At 51.1% G+C, this 22,434-nt stretch overlaps 1 protein-coding gene across 4 annotated transcripts in view, besides 3 other annotated features; it reads right to left on the reverse strand.

Moving 5' to 3' along the window:
* Window positions 1,744-22,434, reverse strand: part of CACNG2 (calcium voltage-gated channel auxiliary subunit gamma 2) — a 142,896-nt gene continuing 122,205 nt past the window's right edge. For 2 of the 4 annotated variants that reach the window (NM_001379051.1, NM_006078.5), the window contains 2 exons: window positions 7,240-7,380; window positions 1,744-5,773 (listed from right to left, as the gene is read on the reverse strand). In NM_001379051.1, coding sequence (NP_001365980.1) covers window positions 5,238-5,773; window positions 7,240-7,380 — 677 coding nt within the window. In that variant the 3' untranslated portion in view covers window positions 1,744-5,237. Of the gene's footprint in view, window positions 5,774-6,083; window positions 6,274-7,239; window positions 7,381-10,978; window positions 11,128-22,434 lie in introns of those variants that run through there. The other 2 variants (NR_166440.1, XM_017028531.3) reach the window with 2 other exon arrangements.
* Window positions 3,947-4,462: an enhancer, noted in NCBI's record as "H3K27ac-H3K4me1 hESC enhancer chr22:36959107-36959622 (GRCh37/hg19 assembly coordinates)". NCBI's record gives its function as "activates a minimal SCP1, AML or CMV promoter by ChIP-STARR-seq in primed H9 embryonic stem cells {active_cell/tissue: H9 hESC(primed)}" and the evidence as "EXISTENCE:reporter gene assay evidence [ECO:0000049][PMID:30033119]".
* Window positions 4,101-4,329: a silencer, noted in NCBI's record as "fragment chr22:36959261-36959489 (GRCh37/hg19 assembly coordinates)". NCBI's record gives its function as "represses an EF-1alpha promoter that drives an FKBP-Casp9 reporter gene in an ReSE screen in phorbol 12-myristate 13-acetate-treated (for megakaryocytic differentiation) K562 erythroleukemia cells {active_cell/tissue: K562(+PMA)}" and the evidence as "EXISTENCE:reporter gene assay evidence [ECO:0000049][PMID:32094911]".
* Window positions 11,239-11,830: an enhancer, noted in NCBI's record as "H3K27ac-H3K4me1 hESC enhancer chr22:36966399-36966990 (GRCh37/hg19 assembly coordinates)". NCBI's record gives its function as "activates a minimal SCP1, AML or CMV promoter by ChIP-STARR-seq in naive H9 embryonic stem cells {active_cell/tissue: H9 hESC(naive)}" and the evidence as "EXISTENCE:reporter gene assay evidence [ECO:0000049][PMID:30033119]".

A 22,434-nucleotide genomic window follows, 5' to 3' on the forward strand; every position in this document is an offset into this window, starting at 1 on the left:
GCTGTAGAATTTCTGCTCCAAGAGTCCTGCCGTGCTGGCTTCCAGGGCTGGCTGCCATCTGTCCTCCTGAGGACCCATGTCCTCCTGCCTTAAGCAGTGGTTTTGGGAAAGCTGGGTGTGCAGGCTGGGATGTGTGCCCACTTTGTGGGAGATGCCCTGAACGTGCTGAGTGGAGCTGGAAGTGGGAAAGGAGGAGGGGTGGGTCATGGGCAGGGAGCTGTGGTCTTGGGTTCCAGGGTGGGCTTGCCCCATGCTGCTACTTTGAGGAGCAGAATGCAGAGGAGGTTGAGAATTCTAAATTCAAACCTAACATTTTAGTTTGTCACAAGGACATATTTGCCAGGACAGAGGATAGACCATATTTTTAAATTTTATTTTATATTTTATTTTAATTTTTTTTGAGATAGAGTCTCGCTCTGTCACCCAGGCTGGAGTGCAGTGGCGCGATCTCGGCTCACTGTAACCTCTGCCTCCCGGGTTCAAGCAATTCTCTGCCTCAGTCTACCGAGTAGCTGGGATTGCAGGCGCCCACCACCACGCTCGGCTAATTTTTGTGTTTTTAGTAGAGACGGGATTTCATCATCTCGGCCAGGCCGGTCTTGAACTCCTGACCTCATGATCCACCTTCCTCGGCCTCCCAAAGTGCTGGGATTACAGGGGTGAGCCACCTCGCCTGGCTGATAGACCATTTTTTAAGGTCGTTAGTTCGATGTGCAGCTGTTAAATCTTCAGACTTAAGTTATGGAGAGTGAGCCTCCCTTTCTACTCTTGCCCTGGACCCCACAAGTGTTAGGGGTGAGCCTGGAGAGAGAGATAATTGAGATTGGTGGGGGCTTGGTGGTGTGGCCCCAGCAGACTGAGGCTGAGTTGAACAGGGAGTTTTGAACATTGGACCCTTCTAGAGTAGACTTTTCCGGGCCACGTCATACAGGGCTTACCTTCTCTTAGGTCTGTGCGGTGTGTAGGTGTCATCTGCTTGCCATCTCCTTTCTCTGGAGCCCCAGGAGAGCTGTACAGTGAGTATGCTTCCCCAACACATCTTAGATAGCACTGTTATCTTAGACAGCTGTTTTGGGGCATGACAGGTCATCCTTCCAATGGGGCCTTTCTCTGATGTCAAAGGTCAAATCCTCCTGTTAGCATTCCATCTTGTCTTTCTCATCTCTTCAAGTTAAGAGAGTCCCAGGGACCCTCCCCATTCTTCTGCCACTCCATGGCTCTCCTCTTCCTGAGAAGCACCCCTCTGCAGGGAGCCCCCTGAGTAAACTGGTAGGGTCATGTCCATTCCAAACTGCACAATTTCACGGGGGAAAATGGAAACCCTGGAGTGTAACTGGGATGTTGAGTGGGGCTGCTTTATTCTAAAAGATAAAACTCAAGGACGTCATGCTCTCTGTCTTCAAATATCTGAGGGGCTGTCATGCTGAAAAGGGAAGGGATTTATTCAGTGTTGTTGGAGTGTGAAGGAAGAGGTGGATTAAAATTCAGTGTGCAGAGAAGACTTTTGCCAAAGAGTGCTGCTTAGCACTGGCTGGTGCTATCTTTGGAGGGGGTGAGCCCGCTGTCACTGGAGGCGTGCAAGTATCCCTAAAGGATATTTAATAGGGAACTCATGATCTAGAGAGTGGGGGGACACCCTACTGTACAGCATCTAAACCTCTCATCCCCAATAATCTGTAGCTTTAGGATTGTTTTAAATAGGATGCCAGGAGTTGGGAAAGGAATTAAAGAAATTCACTGAAGTGAGGACCAAGCTATAAAAAAAAAAAATCTTTATTTCATGTACCAGGATTTTTTTTTTCAGTTTTCTGCTTTTTAAAATTTTTTTTCTGTTAACAGTCTGAAAAAAAAAAAAAGGACTCACCAAGAAAATAAATGGAGGTTAGTTTCTTGAACTGGTCTGAGCTGGACATGAGCAATCATCCACACCCCTGGGCAGCAACGCCCTTGCAGTTCCGGTCCTGGCTCCTTCCCTCCGGACCCCCTAGCCCCTTCTCAGCCATGGCGATGTCACCCCACACCCCAGTGGCTTTCTTCAAGCACACCCAGAACCCAGGCCTTGCGCCATGGAAAGAAGCACTGATCGCCTTCCCAGACGCTCTGCCAGAATTCGGAGAACTGGAGCTAGTTTTTCTCTTCAGACAGTGCTCGCTTGGGTGCGGTTTTCTTGGGGACCCTCCCTTCTCCCTTCGCTCTCATCCTTGATCCCTTTAGGTCTGGAATCTGGTGGGATGGCGGGCAAGATTGGGGTGGGAGAGGGGTAGAGTTCAGTTTCTGCCCAGACTGAGGGCAACTTGGTTGTTGTTACCACACCTTGAATTGTCTCCCATTGTTCTGCCCCAGGGCCCATGACCTCCCCCTGTACTTCTGGGCTGGGCTGGCCGATGTTCTGCCCCTTGCTGACCTGGGAAAATAACTTTCCTTTCCCAGGCAAAAGACAGGAAAGGCAGGTGAGATGTGCAAGCTCAAAAAGCCTTACTAGCCATTCTCTAGAACTCCCCAGAGAGCTCAACCTCAGGAAATGCCGGTGTCAAGAAAAATGCAAACCGGGGGAGACTCGCAGGCAGAGGCAGGGGGGCCTCACCTTGACCTTCAGTCACCTGGGAGTAACTTGCAGACTGTTCTGAAATTTCCAGCTCAGGAAAGCTGTTGGATTTCTGTCAGTCTGAACTGGCCCTTGTCACTCTGGGGAAGAAAGGGGAGAAACACAGGATGCCCTTGACCTTTAGTCTGTGGTGCAAGTTTAACTTTTGGGGTTGGTCCTTACACTGGGATGGAACTGCTAAAATTTTCCTCTCCATTCCCTCAGCCTTGAGCCCTCCCAGTAAACCTCAGAGGATCCTCTTTTTCACAGACCCCCAAAGACACTGGGGAAGCCCTGGTGGCAGAGCTCTTCTCCCAAGGAAGCCTCTTTAACTCTCCATGATCGCAGCAAGGGGACACAAAGTGAAGAAGGGCTTTGGGGACCCCTGCGTCTTTCCCCTCTTTGCCTGAACAGCTTTATGTTTGCTCACATGTGTGTATTTTTGCTTTGACATTGGATGTGGGGGCAGGTGTTCGGGGAGCACAGTGAGGAGGTATATGGTGTGTGTGTGTGTGTGTGTCTGAGAGGCTGACTGATGATGAGCCTGGGGGCTTGGTGGCAGCTGTCCTGGTCATCCCTGGCATATCCTCGGGGCAGGTGGCAGATCTTAAGTCACAGATACATAGAGCAAGAATGGGCCTTTAGTGCTTCTCTGGGTCAATCCACATGCTTACATGGGGGGAAAATTAAGGCCCAGAGAGGCCATGCAGCAAGGAATTCCGGAATCCAGTCCTGGATTCTAGACGGGTGCCCTTCCCATGCATGCGAGTGGTGTGTGTGTGTGTGTGGGTATGTGTGCGTGTGTGGGTATGTGTGCATGTGTGTGTTCATGTGTATGCTCTGTTGGGAGGTTGTGAATGAACACAAAGGCCAGTGTGGAGTTGTTGTCGTCCATGGCTTTGGAGGGCATGAGTCAATTTCCTTTGAGCCACGCCCCTGGCCGTGTATGGGATGGAAGGGTTGAGACTGAGTGTGTCCCTGTGAGTGACTGCAGTGCTGGGCTAAGTGGACTGTGTATGTGTGTGTGAACGTGCCTGTGTGCGTGTGGGGTGTGTGGTCTCTTTCTTTGTTGGATTCTGTCTTCCCCCATTCGCAGCACCTTCCTTGTCTGAGGAAGCCACCTTTCCATCACAGAGACCCCCTGCAGCTCACTGGGACCTTCCGCTACTCCCTCCAACCTTCAAGCCCAGCTCTCACCTCTCACAACGGTTTTGCTTTGTTTTTGTAAATGGATTTGTATATTCGTTTTCTGTTTTTTTTTTCTTTACAAGTTCCCTGCTAAAGTTTAAGTCCCCCACCCCGCCCCATTTTTTGTTTTCACAGTTTAAAGCTGGAAAAGAATTAAAAGAAAAATACTATCTGATTTTCTTGCAAGTAAATCCACTTATTTTGTATTTACATTTATTTATAGTCTGTGGTTTTTTTATTAAAAAAAAATCACCACTTGTTTTTCCTTTTTCTTTTGTAAAAAGAAGCCTTTTTGCAGTGTCATTGTTGAACCCGCTGGGCCCCAAGGGGGCATCAGTGAGTCCAAGGACCCCCAAAGGGTCAATGAACCCCCTTCCCAGGGGACTGGGGGGCTTATGAGTCAGGGGGTCCACCATCGCCCCAGGGTCATCAGGTGGCCCTGAGGTGAGGGGTGAGGAGGGAGAGCTGTTTCATGTCCCCCGGGGGGGGGGGTGGCATCTCCTGACCCCAAGGACAGGAGCTTGGGGACATGACCCCAAGAGGCTCACCCTGAGGATTCCGGGGTTTCCGGCATCTTGGTAAGCCACCGGCAGCCTCCCCTCTCCTTCCCTTTCCTCAAGGCCTAGGAAGTCATCACAGTGGGTTAAGGAGCATTAAGGACTGGGAACCTGGGGCCAGGCAAGCCCCAAGTGTACCCCCCTCCAGGCACCCTAACGGAGAGGAGGGACAAGGGCTCGGTCACCTGGAGGCCTACGATTGCCCCATCAATGCTGGGCGGAGCCGGCTCGAGCTCTGAGCCTTCCTGGAGTTCCTGGGGCACCCACCCAGGGGCTCCAGGGACCTGGCAGTGACTGCAGGCTCACCTGGCCCCAGGGCCCCTGAGTCTCGCCCCCCAATCTCCCAGGGAGGCAGGGCCCGCTGGGGGTTAAAGGGAACAGAAAAGTAACTCTCCCCGAGTTAAAAAAAAAAAAAAAAAGTAACATAAACCCTGAAAAATACAAAGGACATCCCCTTTCCTTTCTGTTCTCATTTTTTTTTTTTTTGCTTTAATGTTATCTTGGTTCCCTTTTATTTTTTCATTTAAATTGATTTTTATTAAATGTTAAAATAATGGTACATGGGAAATCATGCATTTTCTTTTAGATTTATTTTCTATTTTTAATTTTTTATCCCTCTCGCTTTTTTTTAAAGTTTGTTTTCTTCCCTCGTTTATATTTTCCCACATTTCCTGTTGTTTTGCTTCTTTGTTCCTCTTATATTTTGTTCTTTTTTTTAAAATTTACTTGTTATGTTTTTTCTCTTTTTTTGTGTGTGTGTGTTTTTTTGTTTTTTGTTTTTTTGTTTTTTTTGTTTTTTGTTTTTGCTTTTGGAAGGTCTCCCAGCGGAGGGTCTGGGTCTCCCCGCCCCGCCCCGCCCCCGGGGACCGCGCCCTCCTCCCGCGGTCTTCTGGCGAGGCCCGCGGTCTTTATACGGGGGTGGTCCGGCGGTTGGCTGTGTTGGAGTGGAGAGAGTCCTTGTTCTCCTTCTGGATACAGTTGTGAACCTGGAGGAAGCTGTTATCCCTGTCGGAGTTGTAGGTGGCGGTGGGCGTGGTGGCGGCCTTCAGGGGGTCCCTGCTGAGCGTGTACATGGAGATCTCCGTGGACGGCAGGGTGTTGAAGCCCTTGATGCCCACGGGGGAGGCGTCCCTGGAGTGTGAGGGCTCCGTGGAGCGCGAGCTGGAGCGGCTGCGGCGCTGGTAGCGGTAGCGGTAGCTGGGGATGCGGGTGATGGCAGAGGCCTGGAGGTAGTCCGTGGCGCGGGCCGTGGCCCGCAGCTGTTTGTGCCGGTCGATAAACATGTGCACCGCCAGCACCCCGACCATCTCGGCGATGATGAAGGACAGGGCCCCGAAGTAGAAGGACCAGCCGTATGAGTAACTATTCTTTTTGGAGTCGCTCTTGGAGGGGTCTCCGGCATTGGCAGATATGTACACTATGATGCCAATGATGTTACTCAGACCTGCGGGGCGCAGGGTGGCGGGGTGGGGGATCAGAGAGAAGGACGTTAGTTTCTCAGGAAGTCGGCCACAGGGCAGCCGTAAAGGACGGGGACAGCTGTGTGGGCCTTCCCCGGTCCCGCGCCTTCATGAACAGGTGGGGCGGTGTAGATGGACATCCGCAAGCTTCCCCTTAACATTTTATCTTTCCATTCAGAGAGAGCCACAAGGGAAGCGCTAATGGAAACAGACATGGGCAGGGCGGGAGAAGGGAGGCATTTCACAAGGCGCTGAGTAACTAATAATAGATATTGTTCATTGAGCCTTCTCTACCTGCTTTCACTGCTTGGTGCTTCTCAAGCAGGGCACAGATGAGGAAACAAGCACAGAGAGGTTAAGGAACTTGCTTAAGGCTGCACAGGGCTTCAAAGCTGGTGTAGCAGCGGGTGAAGGCGGGCTGATGGAGCCAGGCTGGCCTGCGTTCAAAGCCTTCGCAAGTTAACCTTGGTTTGAGTTTCCAGATCTGTAGAATGGGAGTAAGGTTAAGCCTTACTCTTTAGGGCCACGGAGAGGGTTAAATGGGTGAATACATGTGAGTACTCTTAGATGTTGGTGGTTCCTTTTTTTTTTTTTAAGATACAGTCTTGCTCTGTCACCCAGGCTGGAGTGCAGTGGTGTGATCACAGCTCACTGCAGTCTCAAACTCCTGGGATCAAGCGATCCTCCCACCTTAGCCTCTCTAGTAGCTGGGATTATGTATGCGTCACCATGCCCAGCTGATTAAAATAAAAAAATTTCTGTAGAGACGCGGTCTTGAGGCCTCGCTGTGTTGCCCAGGCTGGTCTCGGACTCCTGAGCTCAAGTGATCCTCCTGTCTCAGCCTCCCAAAGTGCTGGGATTGCAGGCGTGAGCCACTGCACCCGGCCTGATGTTGGTCATTCTTATTAAATGGCTCAGGCTACACCCAGGTTCTTTTTCTGGCATCTGAAGTGAGTGTGACTCATCTGTCATGTAACTGGGCTCAGACATCTGGATGTGGGTGCCTGCCTGCTCCCACCTGAGTAGAACAGTGAGGGGAGAGTCCACCCTTGGTTTCCAAGGTGAAGCTGAGTATCCCATAGGGGTTGGAACAGCGAGGCACTTGGGTGCCCTCTCTCCAGCCTCCTCATGGGTTTACTTGCACCGGGAAGGGAAAGGGTAAGTGGCAATTGGCCAAGTACCCTGAGAGGAAGCGGGCATTTGGGCCTTTTCTCAAGTGGTGGGAAGAAGATGGGGTGTGGGGATGCTCCTGGAGGATTTGGTACAGGCTCGGGAGTTGCTACAGGACAGGAGCCCCCCCACCACCTTCCTCCCCTGCAACACGACCTAGTGCAAGTCTTGGAGATTTCCTCTCCTCTCTCCCCATCTCTCTCTGCCAGGCCCTCGTGGCCCCTGAGCACCCACACCCCAGCCTTCTTCCCAGTGGCAGGACTGGATCAGTGGCTGTTACCTGCAGACACGAAGAAGATGCCGGCACTCAGGATGATGTTGTGTCGAGTTTTGTAGAACTCGCTGGCTGCGATGCAGAGGCCACCCATGAAAAGCAGAATCACACTCAGGATTGGGAAAATGCTGGAGGCCCTCACGGCCCCTGTGGAACACAGAGGGTCAGGGAGAAAGAGAACGGCATGGCTGTGAGACTGAGGCACACAGAGGCAGGTGGGAGAGCAGCCCCGAGGCGCTGGGGGTTTATGGACACAGCCTTAGAGGAGAGGTTGCTTTGCAATCCTAGGGAGGGAGAGACAGCGAGCAGGCCACTGCCCAGCTCACAGCCCTGCAGGAGCTCCCCACTGCCTCCAGGGCCAAACTCCAGCACACCGTCAGGCACACAGGGCCCTGTGTGACTTGGCCTCTGCCCACTTCCAGCTCCCACGGCTCCCAGTCCTCATGTTCTCTCTCGTCCCACCACATCAAACTTCCCACGACATGTCATTTCATGCTGCTGACTTTTGAAATACAGAGCTTCCTACTGGAATGTCTTTCCTATTCTTCACTCAGCAAACTCTTCTTCATCCTTCAAAACCCAGCTCGAAGTCCCCTCTTCTGTAAAGCCTTCCCTGACTTCCTTAGGCAAAGTTATGAGCTCCCTCGTCTGCACTTTGGGGCCCTTGGGCACGCTGAGAGGCAGTGTGGTATAGTGGTTAGGTGGAACCACGTGGGTTGGATTTGAGTCTGGCTGCAGCATTTATTAGCTGTGCAATAGAAAAAGTATCTCACCTCTGTGTGCCTCAGTTTCCTCATCTGTAAAGCAGGGATGGTAATAATGCCAAGCTCCTAAGATTGTTGTGAGGATTAAATGAGTTGATTCAGGCAATGCACTTAGATAAGTTTCTGGTGTCTATAATAAACATTCAATGCATGATATTATAATAAATATTTGTGTATACATATGCTTCCACCATGAACCATGGGTCGTGAGACAAGGACTGTGGCTTTACAAAGAAAAAGTTTCTTGTCTTTATCCTCTCTGTTCAACGACACAGTAGTCTGCCAATAGAAGCTCATTAAGTGAATAAATGTGGGGTCGTGGTCCAGAAGGAAGGAACAGGCACATTGCAAAGAAAACAAAGTAAGAAGAGAAACCCCTCTAGATAAGGACTGACAAACAGGACCGGAGAAGAAAAGAATATGGTAATGAAAAGGGAGAAACAGAAGGTGAGGGCCAGGGCTCCTACAGTTGGGGGTGGATGGGGGAAAAGGGGGACAGGTGGCTAAGGGCAGAGGTCGGGGCTACATGTGTTTGTGGGGGGAGCAGCACCTGAATGAGGACCCAGAGGTGTTGGGGAGCCCTTCACAAAGTGTCTTTGCGAAGTAAAACATTTTTTTTTTAATCCAAATTCAAATAGGCAGTGAGTGACCTCAGGACCCAGCTCCGTGTCCTGGGAGCCATGGGCTAGGCAGGAGGCAGAGCTGGCTTGAGGCAGGGGTGAGGGAAAATATGTCTTCTTTATTATTATTATTTTTTGAGACGGAGTCTTCCCCTGTCACCCAGGCTGGAGTGCAGTGGTGCAATCTCGGCTCACTGCAACTTCTGCCTCCTGGGTTCAAGTGATTCTCCTGCCTCAGCCTCCCAAGTAGCTGGGACTACAGGCGTGTACCACCATGCTTGGCTAATTTTTGTACTTTTAGTAGAGATGGGGTTTCACTATGTTGGCCAGGCTGGTCTCAAACTCTTGACCTCATGATCTGCCCACCTTGGCCTCCCAAAGTGCTGGGATTACAGGCTTGAGCCACCGTGCCTGGCCAAAGATGTCTTCTTTAAATGGTGCTTAAGTGGTTTCTAAGGAAGTTGAGTCCTGATAATTACAGGACCCTTTGGCCAAGCCCAGGGATTGGTCAGGGAGGTTGGTTTTGGAGGGGAATGTGCCAGGAGCGGAGCTTCCTCTTATCCCCATCCCCGTCCCCACCCTTTTGGGTGGGAGTGTGTTCAAGAAGGATCTGTGAGAAGAGAATTTCTCTATATAGAACTGTAGGGATTTTTCTTTTTCTTTTTTAAAATTTATTTTTATTTTTATTTTTTGAGATGGAGTCTTGCTCTGTTGCCCAGGCTGGAGTGTAGTGGTGTGATCTCGGCTCACTGCAGCCTCCACCTCCCAGGTTCAAGCGATTCTCCTGCCTCAGCCTCCCAAGTAGGTGGGACTACAGGTGTGCGCCATCACACCTGGCTAGTTTTTGTATTTTTAGTAGAGACGGGGTTTCGCTATGTTGGCCAGGCTGGTCTTGAACTCCTGACCTCAAGTGATCTGCCCGCCTCGGCCTCCCAAAGTGCTGGGATTACAGGCGTTAAAAGGGGATTTTAGGCAGTTTGCTGAGATGTGTGTGATGTGAAAACTCTTCTTCTGTCCTCACCATGGATCTGCAGCATAGTCTACACTGCTCACAAATGGGTGAGTGGGTTATTTGGGGGGGACCTGAAGAAGGGCAGGGCTCTTGGGGCAAAACTGAGCTGCATATAGGGAAGCAGGGGTGGGAGGATGGGGGCTTGGGGTGGCTGGGCTACTCTGCAGCCTCAGCACCCTCCTTCTCTTGGGCGGGATGGGGCTGCTCCTCCACAGACCCCAGGGAGGTGTTCTCTCCTTGCAAATCATTGCTAAGACAACACGCTGTATCCCTAACCTGATCCCCCAGCCCAAACACACCCACATCCACACCCACGCGTGACAGACATGCATGACTAAAAAGCCACCTTAACTCTCATCTTTATAAGCACATGAGGATGGTGAGAGCTTACTGAAAACCCAGGAGAAGAGAGAGAATATTTGTTAAACACCCATTCGGTGTTGGGTCTTGAGCAGGTACCTAACATATATGATATAATTTCATCCTCATAACAGTCCGGCAGGGTGTGTTTTTTTGCCCCAATTTACAGACAAGAAAATTGAGGTTCAGAGAGAGAAACTCCCCTGCCACCCAGCTAGTGAACCAGGATTCATATCCAGACCAGCTCAACTTTTGGAGCACCCTGTAGTCTCCCTATGTGGCTTCCAAGGAGCCCAGGAAGGGTGAGTGCCACAGGGCCTGGAGAACTGGGTTTGGGTCCCACCTGTGCCACTCACTTGCTGTGTGGCTAAGGCGGGTGCTCACTTCCTCTGTTTTTCCCCTGTGTAACATGGGGTATGGCCTGTTAGATGGTTTCTTTTTGTTTGTTTGTTTTAGATACAGAGTCTTGCTCTATACCCCAGGCTGGAGTGCAGTGGCGTGATCTTGACTCACTGCAACCTCCGTCTTCGGGGTTCAAGCAATTCTCCTGCCTCAGCCTCCCAAGTAGCTGGGATTATAGGCGCCCGCCACCATGTCCGGCTAATTTTTGTATTTTTAGTAGAGATGGGTTTTCGCCATGTTGGCCAGGCTGGTCTCAAACTCATGACCTCAGGTGATCCACCGGCCTCGGCCTTCCAAAGTGCTGGGATTACAGGCCTGAGCCACCGCGCCCGGCCGTTAGATAGTTTCTAATAGCTCTGCCCTTTCCATGTGGACATGGTCCTGGCCAGCCACAAAGGGGAATGACAGAAGAGAGAAGGAAAGAAAGAAAGAGGTCGGTGTGGCTTCCGAGGCGCAGCAGCAGCAGCTCAGAGGAACAGGCAGAAGAAAGGCTCTGGCCTTCCCCCTCCAAGAAAGTGGGGTCTTACTACCCACAGGATGCCTGCAGGTCGCCGACCCAATTGTGCCCTCACAGCAAATGGACTCACAGCAGCCCAGGGCTTGATTTTTCCAGTTGAGCCCCATCTGCTGTGGGAACCCGGATGCCCCAGCTCAGCCCTCCTGCCAGCAGGGGGAGGGAGCGTCGGCTGCGGAGGGAGCTGGGATGCATGCGTGTGGGCAGCCAGAGGCCAGGCATGTGTGGACAAGATGGAGGGCGGCGGGAGAGCAGGGAGGGGTCTGCTGTGTTGCAGCCAGCAAAGAGCAATGTGGAGGAATCAGAACGGCTTCAGAAGCCACCAAGGCAGCGTATGACATGCTCTAAATAATGACCACCAGCGGGGAATACAAACAGAAGCCTCTTCGGCACAGAAGAGCCAGCCCCAAGCTCTGGCCTTTCGTGGAAGAGGCCTCTTTGCCCAGAAAGAAGGCAACAGGCCGGGCGCGGTGGCTCACGCCTGTAATCCCAGCACTTTGGGAGGCAGAGGTGGGTGGATCACCTGAGGTCAGGAGTTCGAGACCAGCCTGGCTAACATGGTGAAACCCCGTCTCTACTGAAAAAAACACAAAAATTAGCCGGGCATGGTGGTGCGTGTCAGTAGTCTCAGCTACTGGGGGTGCTGAGGCAGGAAGATAGCTTCAACTTGGGAGGCGGAGGTTGCAGTGAGCTGAGATCGCGCCACTGCACCCCAGCCTGGGCAACAGAGCAAGACTCCATCTCAAAAAAAAAAAAAAAAAAAAAGGCAACAGTGGGCAACCAGCAAATAGCACCATGCTTAGGCCACTAGACTTGGCAGGGCCCAGATCCAGGTGGGAAGGAAGCTGGTTTAGGAGCAAGCAGGGACTTCTACATTGGAGACGTTTCTTGAAGGAGGTATTTCTGGCTGGGTAGTGTCACAAACGGAATGGGGATTTTGGAGTTAGTCACACTTGACTTTGAATCCTCGCTTTGTCAGTTATCAACAGTGTGACCCTTGGGCAAGGGTCATTACTGCTCTGAGCCTCAGTTTCCCCATCCTGTGAAATGGGAATAGTAAAAATAATATTTAGCTTATAGGAATGTTGTAAGGCCTTGCTGCTGCAAGTGTGGCCTGAGGCCCAGCGGCATTGGCATCTGATTAGAAAGGCAGCCCTGCCAGGCATGGTGGCTCATGCCTGTAATCCCAGCACTTTGGGATGCTGAGGTGAGCGGATCACATGAAGTCAGGAGTTCGAGACCAACCTGGCCAGCATGGCGAAACCTTGCTTCTACTAAAAATACAAAAATTAGCCGGGCGTGACGGTAAGTGCCTGTAATCTCAGCTACTTGGGAGGCTGAGGCAGGAGAACCGCTTGAACCCGGGAGGCAGAGGTTGCAGTAAACTGAGATTTCGCCACTGCACTCTAGCCTGGGTGACGGAGCGAGGTTCCATCTCAGAAAAAAAGAAAAAAGAAATGCCGCCCCTCAGCTCTTTCCCCCAACTGAGTCATAATCTCCATTTTAATGAGATCCCCAGAGCAAGATTTGCATGCATATGAAAGTTTGAGAAGTGCTGTTATAAGAATTAAATTGGGGCTGGGCTCGGTGGCTCACACCTGTAATCCCAGCACTTTGGGAGGCCGAGGCTGGTGGATCACTTGAGGTCAGGAGTTCAAGACCAGCCTAGCCAATATGATGAAACCTCGTCTCTACCAAAAATAAAAAAATTAGCTGGGCATGGTGGTGCACACCCATAGCCCCAGCTACTTGGGGGGCTGAGGCAGGAGAATCGCTTGAACGCGGGAGGCAGAGGTTGCAGTGAGCCAGGATCTCACCACTGCACTCCAGCCTGGGCGTCACAGCAAGATTCTGTCTCAAAAACAAAAAAAAAAAAAAAAAGAATTAAATTGGGTCCTACCTTTTACTGTGTCTCACACTAGAAGTTGCACAGTAAAAGGTAGCAATTTTTATTTCTGAGGTCCCTCTTCCCAAAACATCAGTCCAGGCATAACTTCCCTATAAATTGTCCTCACTTCCTACAAAGCCAAGCATGGTCTTGTTGCCAAAATCTATCACAAGAGTCAGGAAATATCTGATTTATTTAATGAACAAATATTTACTGGTCTCCTATGAGTAAGCATATGGCACTTCACATTACCTGACAACATTTATGGAGCCCCTCCCCTGTACCAGGCCTTGTTCTAAGAGCGGTGTAAACCTCATACCAGCCCCATGAAGCCATGGGCTTTGGCTTCAAGGAGATTACACACGCCTAAAGCTGACACTGGCAAACTTGTTCTGTGAAGGGAAAGACAGCAAATATTTTCATCTTTGCTGGCCATATGGTCTCAGTTGCAATTTCTTAACTTTGCAGTTGTAGCACATAAACAGCCATAAACAATATGTAAACAAATGAACGTGGTTGTCTTCCAATAAAACTTTATTTACAAAATCACTTTGGGAGGCCGAGGGGGCTGGATCACTTGAGGTCAGGAGTTCGAGACCAGCATGGCCAATATGGCGAAACCCCATCTCTACTAAAAATACAAAAATTAGCCCGGCGTGGTGGCGCATGCCTGTAGTCCCAGCTACTCGGGAGCCCGAGGCAGGAGAATCGTTTGAACCCAGGAGGCAGAAGTTGCAGTGAGCTGAGATCAAGCCACTGCACTCTAGCCTGGGCAGTGGGTGACAGAGTGAGTGAGACTCCATCTCAAAAAAAAAAAAAAAATCAGGTGGTGGGCTGGATGGGCTGGATTTGGCCTGCTAGTCATACTTGGCCAGCTGTGGCCAAGAGTATACTCTATACTGGGGAAAAGGCCACGTGGTCCAGAGCAGGGAGATGCTTTGCTCTAGGCTAGCTGTGAATCCAGTGAGCAAATATGGACTGAGTGCCCACCGCTGTGCTAGACCTGGGCTTGGCATGAGAGACATGAGGGGTCCAAAACAGGCCTGGTTCATGTCTTTCTAGAGCTTATACTCTCATGAAGGACATGTATGCCATCAGATAATCACACAGCCTGGATAACGTGCTATGAAAGAAAAGTACCTATATGGCACCATGAGGGTATGTGACAGGCTAATGTCACATGTAGACAACTAATGTCCATAGAGAGCTTAGAGTATGCCGAGGACTGTTTTGAGCACTGCACATACACAAACTCGTTAGTTCTCATTACAACTCTGTGAAGTAAGTACTTCATATTATTTTTATTTTTTAAATTTATTTTAGTTCTACTTATTGCATTATCTTAAGCAGCATATAATAGTATGGCCTCTGAAATGTGATAGACCTGGATTCAAATCCAATGCTTTTGTTTTTTACTTTTTAATTATTATTATTATTTTTTTGAGACAGAGTCTTGCTCTGTCACCCAGGCTGGAGAGCAGTGGCGTGATCTCGGCTCACTGTAACCTCTGCCTCCTGGGTTTGAGTGATTCTTGTGTCTCAGCCTCCCAAGTAGCTTAGATTACAGGCCATGTGCCATCACACCTGGCTAATTTTTGTATTTTTAGTAGAGACGGGGTTTCACCATGTTGGCCAGCCTGGTCTCGAACTTCTGGCCTCAAATGATATGCCTGCCTCAGCCTCCCAAAGTGCCGGGAGTGCAGGCGTGAGCCACCACACATGGCCTATATAGGTATTTTAATTATCCCCACTCTACAGAGACCAAACTGAAGCAAGGAGAGGTTAAGCCATTTGTTCAAGATTTGTGAATCCAGGCAGTCTGACTCTAGGGTCTGTGTGTCTAACCACTGCATTCCCTTCTTTTCAGGCTCTACACTTTGCTGCCCTTCAAAGCATCCTCTGAGCTTATGTGGGGATCAGGACAGGTCTCCCTGAGGAAGTGGTGGTAGAGCTGACCTCTGGCGAATAAGGAGCAGCTGATTAGGCACAATGAAGGCAGGGCTGTGGGAGAGAGAGCAGCAGGAGCCGAAGGTGGAGGAGGCATGGCTCCTTCAGAGACCTGGAAGAAGGCTGGATCACGAGGAGCCAGTGGAAGAGTGTGGGGAGCACTGAAGGGAGGAGCCAGTGGAGGAGTGTGGGGAGCACCTAAGGAGAGGAGGCAGGCGGGTCTGGGCCACGTGGGGCCTCATGAGTTGAGCTAAAGAGCTTAGCTTTATCCCAAGAGCAATGGGAAACTTTAAAGGGCTTAGAACAGGCAGGGCTGTCATGATCTGATTTGCATCTTAAGAAGCAAACGGATTACGAAGGGGTCAAGGGTGGCTCCAGGGAAGCAGTGAGAAGGCTACTGCAGCTGATCGGAGAGGAGTGATGCCGGTGCTTGGGCCAGGGTAGGTACAAAGGGCATGGACAGAGGCAGATGTGTCTGAGAGATGTTTAGGAGGTGAATTGAAGCTTGATGGATGGATATGGGTAGTGAAGAGGGTGGCGTTGAGGTTAACTTCTAGGTTTCAGACTTGCCAGCTGGGTGGAAAAAACCACTTAGGGGGACTGGGAGAGGACCCAGCCTAGCAGTGAGTAGAGAGTAGGGGAGGAGCCTGGGCGAGGTGGCTCACGCCTGTAATCCCAGCACTTTGGAAGGCTGAGGCCGGTGGATCACCTGAGGTCAGGAGTTCGAAACCAGCCTGGCCAACATGGTGAAACCCCATCTCTACTAAAAAAATACAAAATTAGCCAGGGGTGGTGGCGCATCCCTGTAAACCCAGCTACTTGGGAAGCTGAGGCAGGAGAATTGCTTGAACCTGGGAGGTGGAGGTTGCCGTGCACCAAAATTGTGCCATTGCACTCCAGCCTGGGCAACAAGAGCGGAACTCTGTCTCAACAAAACAAAACAAAACCAAAACAAAACAAAACAAACAAAAAAAGAGACTAGAGGAGGAAGATCAAAGGTTTGGTTTTGGACATGCTGAGTTTGAGATGCCTTGGGGATGTGCATGTAGAGTGTGGGTGGGGCAGTTGGGTGTGCAGATGTGGAGCACAGGGGTGCCATCTGGGTTGAAGCTATCTCACAGACACACAGAGAGCTTGCCTATGGATGAAGAGAGGCTTAGGCCTGAGGCTTGGGGAGCCCCAATGGTTAGTGACCATCTCAAGAAGACCTTGGGCAAATAATAGTGTTCCTTGGCCCCAATTTCCTTTTCTGTAAAATGGAAATGAAAATCCTAACTCCGTCTACCTTACTGGGTTACAGGGATTAAGCAGGAAGAGGAATGTGGACGCTTTAGAAAATGCAGGATGTCAGTGAACTATGAGCAATTTATTATTTTCTATGAGGGTGACAGAAATAAAGAGTATCCTAAGTGCCCAGGAGGCAAGCGACATCTTGCCTTCTGGAACGGGTGGCCTGAGCTATCTGTTCTTTGCAAATCTGCTTTTTGGCCAAACTCCCTAGACAAATCATCTTGTGATCTTGTGCCTCGGTGGGCCCCAGCCTCTCTGGCCATCACGCTGTGACATGGTGCTTCATGGTGGGCATAGCCAGAGGCCAGGCCAGACAGGGCACGCGGGGCCCCGAGGTTTTCTCACTGTGTCTGGCAGCGGAGGAGGGTGGGCTGGTGGTCAGTGGGGGTGGGGATGTGACGACGGGGGGAGGTCAGGAGACCTGGGCCTGCTGTGCACTCTTTGCCTAGCTCTCCACGGGACCTGAGCATGTGCTATTCCTTCTCTGGCCTCAGATCTGCACTCTGATGAGGTTGGAGTAGACGATCTCTAAGGCCCTGTCCCTCAATGATGGTCCCGTGCCCATCAAGACCTCTCCCCAGGGCCCATACAGCCAGGCCATGCTGCTGCCTTACCTGTTCCCTGTGCGAGTAATGACCTTGAATCAAAATAGTCACCGTAATCAGGTATGTAGCGGGCAGGTTCCTCATTTTCTGTGCCTAGTGTTATGCTCTTATCCCATCTGGGATTTGACTCATCATTAGGATGAATTAGGATCATTAGGATCAATCCGCATTAGGGGATACAGTCTACAGTCACAGACCTGCACAGACCTGCTGGGTTGCAAGGAGCTTTCTAGTCTCTTGGGCATCTCTTCCCATCTTCTCCTTCCACGCTGTGCTGGCTGGTGTAGCCAATGGCCGTGAGAAGGGATGCGTTTCAAAAAATGCCTGTGTGATGCATGTTTATAGCAGTACAATTTGCAAGTGCAAAATTGTGGAACCAACCCAAATACCTATCCATCAATGAGTGGATAAAGACTGTGGTATAAATATGATGGAATACTACTCAGCAATAAAAAGGAATGACTAATGGCATTTGCAGCAACCTGGGTGAGATCGGAGACTATTATTCTAAGTGAAGTAACTCAGGAATGGAAAACCAAACATTATATGTTCTCACTCATAAGTGGGAGCTAACCTACGAGGATGCAAAGGCATAAGAATGATAGAATGGACTCTGGGGATTCAGGGGGAAAGGGTGGGGAGAGGATGAGGTATAAAAGGCTACAAATTGGGTTCATTGTGTCCTGCTTGGATGATGGGTGCACCACAATCTCACAAATCACCACTGAAGAACTAACTCATGTAACCAAACACCACCTGTTCCCCAACAACCTCTGGAAATAAAAAATTAAAAAAAAAAACACTCCAAAATGCCTCTGTGTGTGCGTGTGTGTGTGTGTGTGTATGTGTGTGTGTGTGTGAGAGAGAGAGAGTCAGAAAGACCTCAAAGAAGAAAGAGGAGAACAAAGATGGTGGGTGAGAAATAGAAAGAGAAGTCAAACGCTATGGTTTGGAGCATGGGTTCCAGATGCAGCCCGCTTGGGGTCTCCTCCTGGACCCCCACTGGCTCTGTAGCCTCTGTGCCTTGCCTTTCCCATCTGTGTGATGGGGACACTGATCATCTCACCCTCATAGGGTGGTTGTGAAGATGAATTAAGATAATGTTTCAAGTGTCAGGCCTGGCACATCGTCAAGTGTTCAATGAACGTGTGCTATATATAATAGCACATGAAAAGCATTTTGAGAGCCCAGGGAGCTAACTTGGGGAGTACCATCTGTGCAGGATGCCGGATACATCCCTGCTTCCTGCTGTCAGTAGAGATTGGTGACCAGTCGCACAGGCTCAGGAGAAAGGCTGCCGGAGTCCATCTTCCTAGCTGTGACCTGGTCCCCCGGGGGCCTCTGCTGCCCCCTCTGCCATATGGAGATCACAAGCACACTTAGCTCACAGGGTGCTATGAGGAGTAACTGAGTACACACACTTGAAGCAATGAGAATAATGTCTGGTATGCGAGGAGCACCAGCAAATCGTGCTCATCATTCCAGCGGAGCAAATTGTTGCTGTCTCTCACCGGGCTTTGGGTTACTGAGGCTGCTATTTATTAAAGTGTGGGTTGTGACTCATTACTAGGTCATGAAATCGGTGTAGTGGTAGCAACCAGCCCTTAAAGAAATGAACCGGGGCCGGGCGCGGTGGTTCACACCTGTAATCCCAGCACTTTGGGAGGCCGAGGCGGGTGGATCACGAGGTCAAGAGATCGAGACCATCCTGGCCAACATGGTGAAACCCGGTCTCTACTAAAAATACAAAAATGAGCCAGGCGTGGTGGCGCAGGCCCGTAGTCCCACCTACTTGGGAGGCTGAGGCAGGAGACTCGCTTGAACCGGGGAGGCGGAGGTTGCAGTGAGCCGAGATCATGCCACCGCGCTCCAGTCTGGCGACAGAGTGAGACTCCGTCTTGGAAAAAAAAAAAAAAAAAAAAGAAATGAACTAGGACAGAATAGAAACTGCCGGCCAGTGTGCGTTCAGGAAGGCTGGGTGGCTTTTGGGGAACATTTTGCTCTGGTTCTGCAGATGTGAGTGAGTACAAGTGGCAGCTTAGATGTTTCCTAACCATGGGGTGGGGTCACAATAGTTTTAGCCGCACTGGTTGTGATGACTTCTGGAGGGGATGTCTCTCAGAAGCCCCCTCATGGCAATGTTTTCTAGAAGGGGCTGAGAGCCCTGGGCAGTGGACAGGTAGCAGGATAATGGACCTGGATAATGCTCCCAGGGTGCAGTCCCAGAAAGTGTGCCGGGCTGGGGCAGGTCATTTTCCCTCTTGGGCCTCCGTTTTTCCCTCATCTGTAAAATGGGAGGGTGGGGCTGGGTGATCCTAAGCTAGGATGATGGGCTGGGTGCGGTAGCTCACACCTGTCATCCCAGCACTTTGGGAGGCCAAGGCTGGCAGATCACTTGAGGTGAGGAGTTTGAGACCAACCTGGCCAACATGGTGAAACCCCGTCTCTACTAAAAAAAAATACAAAAAATTAGCTGGGTGTGATGGCGTGCACCTGTAATCCCAGCTACTGAGACAGAAGAATTGCTTGAACCCAGGAGGCGGAGGTTGCAGTGAGCCGAGATGGCACCACTGCACTCCAGCCTGGGTGACAGAGCGAGACTCAATCTCAAAAAAAAAAAAAAAGCCGGAATGATGGATCATTACACTTCTAAAACTCTAGGCGGGTGAAGCCTGGTGGACGCCCCTCATGCTGTTCCACTGGGGCTCTGGGGAGACCTAAAAAAGCACTGTTCACGGGAGGCTCAGAGAAGTTGTGTAACTTGCCAAAGGTCACAGAGTGGAGCACCCCTTGAATTCAGGCCCTTTTATTCTAAGTAACAACCTCGGGTTTTGACACCTGGTCTCCCCACACTTCCCTGGCTCATGTTCCCTGGTGGGACTGGTGGAGGTGGGGAGAGAGGGGCAATGGGAAGGAGGGACACTGTCTGAGGCCAGGAAGGGTGGCTCTGGCCCAGGTTGACACCCAATATCCTCCTCTGACCTCATTCTGGGAAGAGGGTGAACATGCCAGCTGCCCTAGGGCGGGCGGTACCTTGTTTATTCACTTAGCAAACCTCTCCTGGGTCTGATCCTGGGAAAGGCCCTGTGCTGGAGGGGGTGGATGGGTGGGAGGAGGACACTCTATTTGCAGCCACTCCTTGTGGTGTCCTCAAGCTGTTCACAGTCCGTGGGGAGAAGATTCCGTAACAGAAACCAAGATGAAACAGACCGGCAATAGAGTGGTCACCTCCCCGCACAGCAGCCTCGTCCTACATTCCCAGCCTCAGAGAAGGGCAGTAATGTTTGCCCCATCTGCCAGCCAGAACTCCTCGCCATCCACAAGACCTCTCTCTTACTTCTCCCATCCAGGCTGTCAGTAAAAGCTGCCAGCTCGACTGGGCATGATAGCTCACACCTGTAATCCCAGCACTTTGGGAAGCCGAGGTGGGTGGATCACCTGAGGTCAGGAGTTTGAGACCAGCCTGACCAACATGGTAAAAACCCGTCTCTACTAAATACAAAAAATTAGCTGGGCGTGGTGGCAGACACTTGTAATCCCAGCTACTTGGGAGGATGAGGCAGGAGAATCACTTGAACCCAGGAGGTGGAGGTTGCAGTGAGCTGAGATCATACCACTGCACTCCAGCCTGGGCAACAAAAGTGAAACTCTGTCTCAAAAAAAAAAAAAAAAAAAAAAAAAAGCTGCCGGCTGTCTTGTCAAATACATATAGGATCAAACCCCTTCTCAGCCACCTCTCCACTACCGGGCCCGAGCACCTGCCTTTTGAGCCTGGAGATAGCTGTGGTCTCCTAAGTGGTCTCCCTCTCCTGCAGAAGCTGGAGTGATACTGGTAGCCTGGACATCAGACCATGCCTGTCCCCTGCTCAGAACCCACCCGTGGTGGTCTCATCTCAGAGGAAAGCAGAGGCTCCCAAGTCCTGGTCCCCACCCCTTCTGCCACCTGCCTTCCCCTCGTCTGCTTATCACAGGGCGTCCTGGCTGTTATGAACCTGCCAGCTTCAGATGCTTTGCACTGGCGGTTCCCTCTGCCTGAATGCTCTTCCAGGATATATGCACCTCCCAAGCACTCCCTCACCTCCTTTAGGTCTCTGCTTCAATGTCACCTTTGCCACAAGGACTTTCTGACCACCCTGTTGCAAACTGAAGCCCTCCCCGGGCGCCCATCTCTCCTCCCTGTTTCCTCTTTGTTCTTTGCGCTCATCGCTATGCAATGGGACACAACAGTGAGCATGGATCGTGGCAATCGCTCTGCAATGGGATGCGACAGTGAACACGGATTGTGGCGAATGCCTGCTGAATGCTCACTGGGTTCGGGGCAGGTGCGAATTGCTGTCCGACTCTAACTCCCTTAATCCTCATGGCAATGCTAGGAAGATGACAATGAGCATCATCCCCATTGCAAGGAAACCGAGGCCCAGGGAGGTTCACCGGGAAGTGGCAGAGCTGGATTTGAAGCCCCGAGTGTGCCAAAGCCTGCCTCCCACTGGTGTCCAAGTTCTGTAAATTCACCCCCCAGACGGCCATCGTATGGGTCCTCCCTGCCTTGGCCGCCTTCTGCCTCCCTCCTTGGTTCCACTCCTGCTGTTGGCTTCCCCCAGGCTGCCTGTCATCGTCCTCAGGTGGTCAGTGAATCCCTGGGGAGGTGTCAAATTTAAGCGCAACTGGGTGTACCTCTCTTGTGTGTGTTGTGGGGAGCTGAGTGGGGGCATCTGCTTTGATGAGGGCCTGCCTCCCTTCCCCCTTCTCTCCACTTCTGGCTATGGAGTGTGGCCTGGTGATCCCCCCATTGAGGCCTGTGTGTGTGGCCTGTGTCACACCCCCTGGAGGGAGTACGTCAGAGACAGCAGCCAGCCCTGGGCCCCTCACCCACACCTCCAGCCCCAGGCTCTGAGTATGGAGTGGGGAGACCTGACCATACCCCGCAGTCCTGGACAATGAGTGGCCACAATAGAGTGGATTTTGGGGTCTGGCACACAGTAGGTGCTTAATACATGACTGTTGGAGGAAGCCAAATTCCTCTGATTCTTCTTCCCTTACTCCAAATCACAATAGGACAGCTAGGAAATGTCACCTCCCATCTCCTGGACACAACACGCACACATACACACACACAACACACAGGGACCCACATACACACAGACATGTGCAAACACACAAGCGCTTACACATTCAGACATAGACACTCAAACACACAGACATGCGGGTACCGAAAGACACAGAACACAGCACAGACTCATGCCCTCATGCACAAAGACAGATGCATGGATGCACGCTTGACATTCAAGAGAAGTCACACCCCGGTCACCACAGCCTCGTTCCTCACCACGCTCCTTAATCTTTGGTTAATGAGGGAAGAGGATATGGAGGCTGCCACAGCAGACACATTCGATGGGCCCACAGCGCTGGTTGGGAGAAACAGTCCAGTCACATTCATTACTGGGTAAGCCAGTTATAGGTGGGGCGAAATCCATATTGGTCATGGCTTTATGGAGGCCGGGGTAGTGATGAGGGACTCCTATAGCTGTTTCTCTATCAGTGTGGTTCAGGAGAGGCTGGGGGACTCCTCAGTTACTCATAGGCACTGGGGAGTAAGAGTGTCCATTCATTAATTCATTCATTCATTCGTCCATCAGATATTAATTGAGTGCCTTCCTTCTGCCAAGCCCTCCAAGAGGCTGGACAACATCTTAAGCTTGGCCTGCTGGCTTGAGCGCGGTGAGCCCCACCATCCTTTCCACCCCCGGAGATGAGCTCTGAACTGCTGTCCAGCCATGCTCTTCTGGCATTCTCTGTCCT

Source organism: Homo sapiens, chromosome 22, assembly GCF_000001405.40.
Source record: "Homo sapiens chromosome 22, GRCh38.p14 Primary Assembly".
In the NCBI taxonomy this organism is placed as follows: Eukaryota; Metazoa; Chordata; class Mammalia; order Primates; family Hominidae; genus Homo; species Homo sapiens.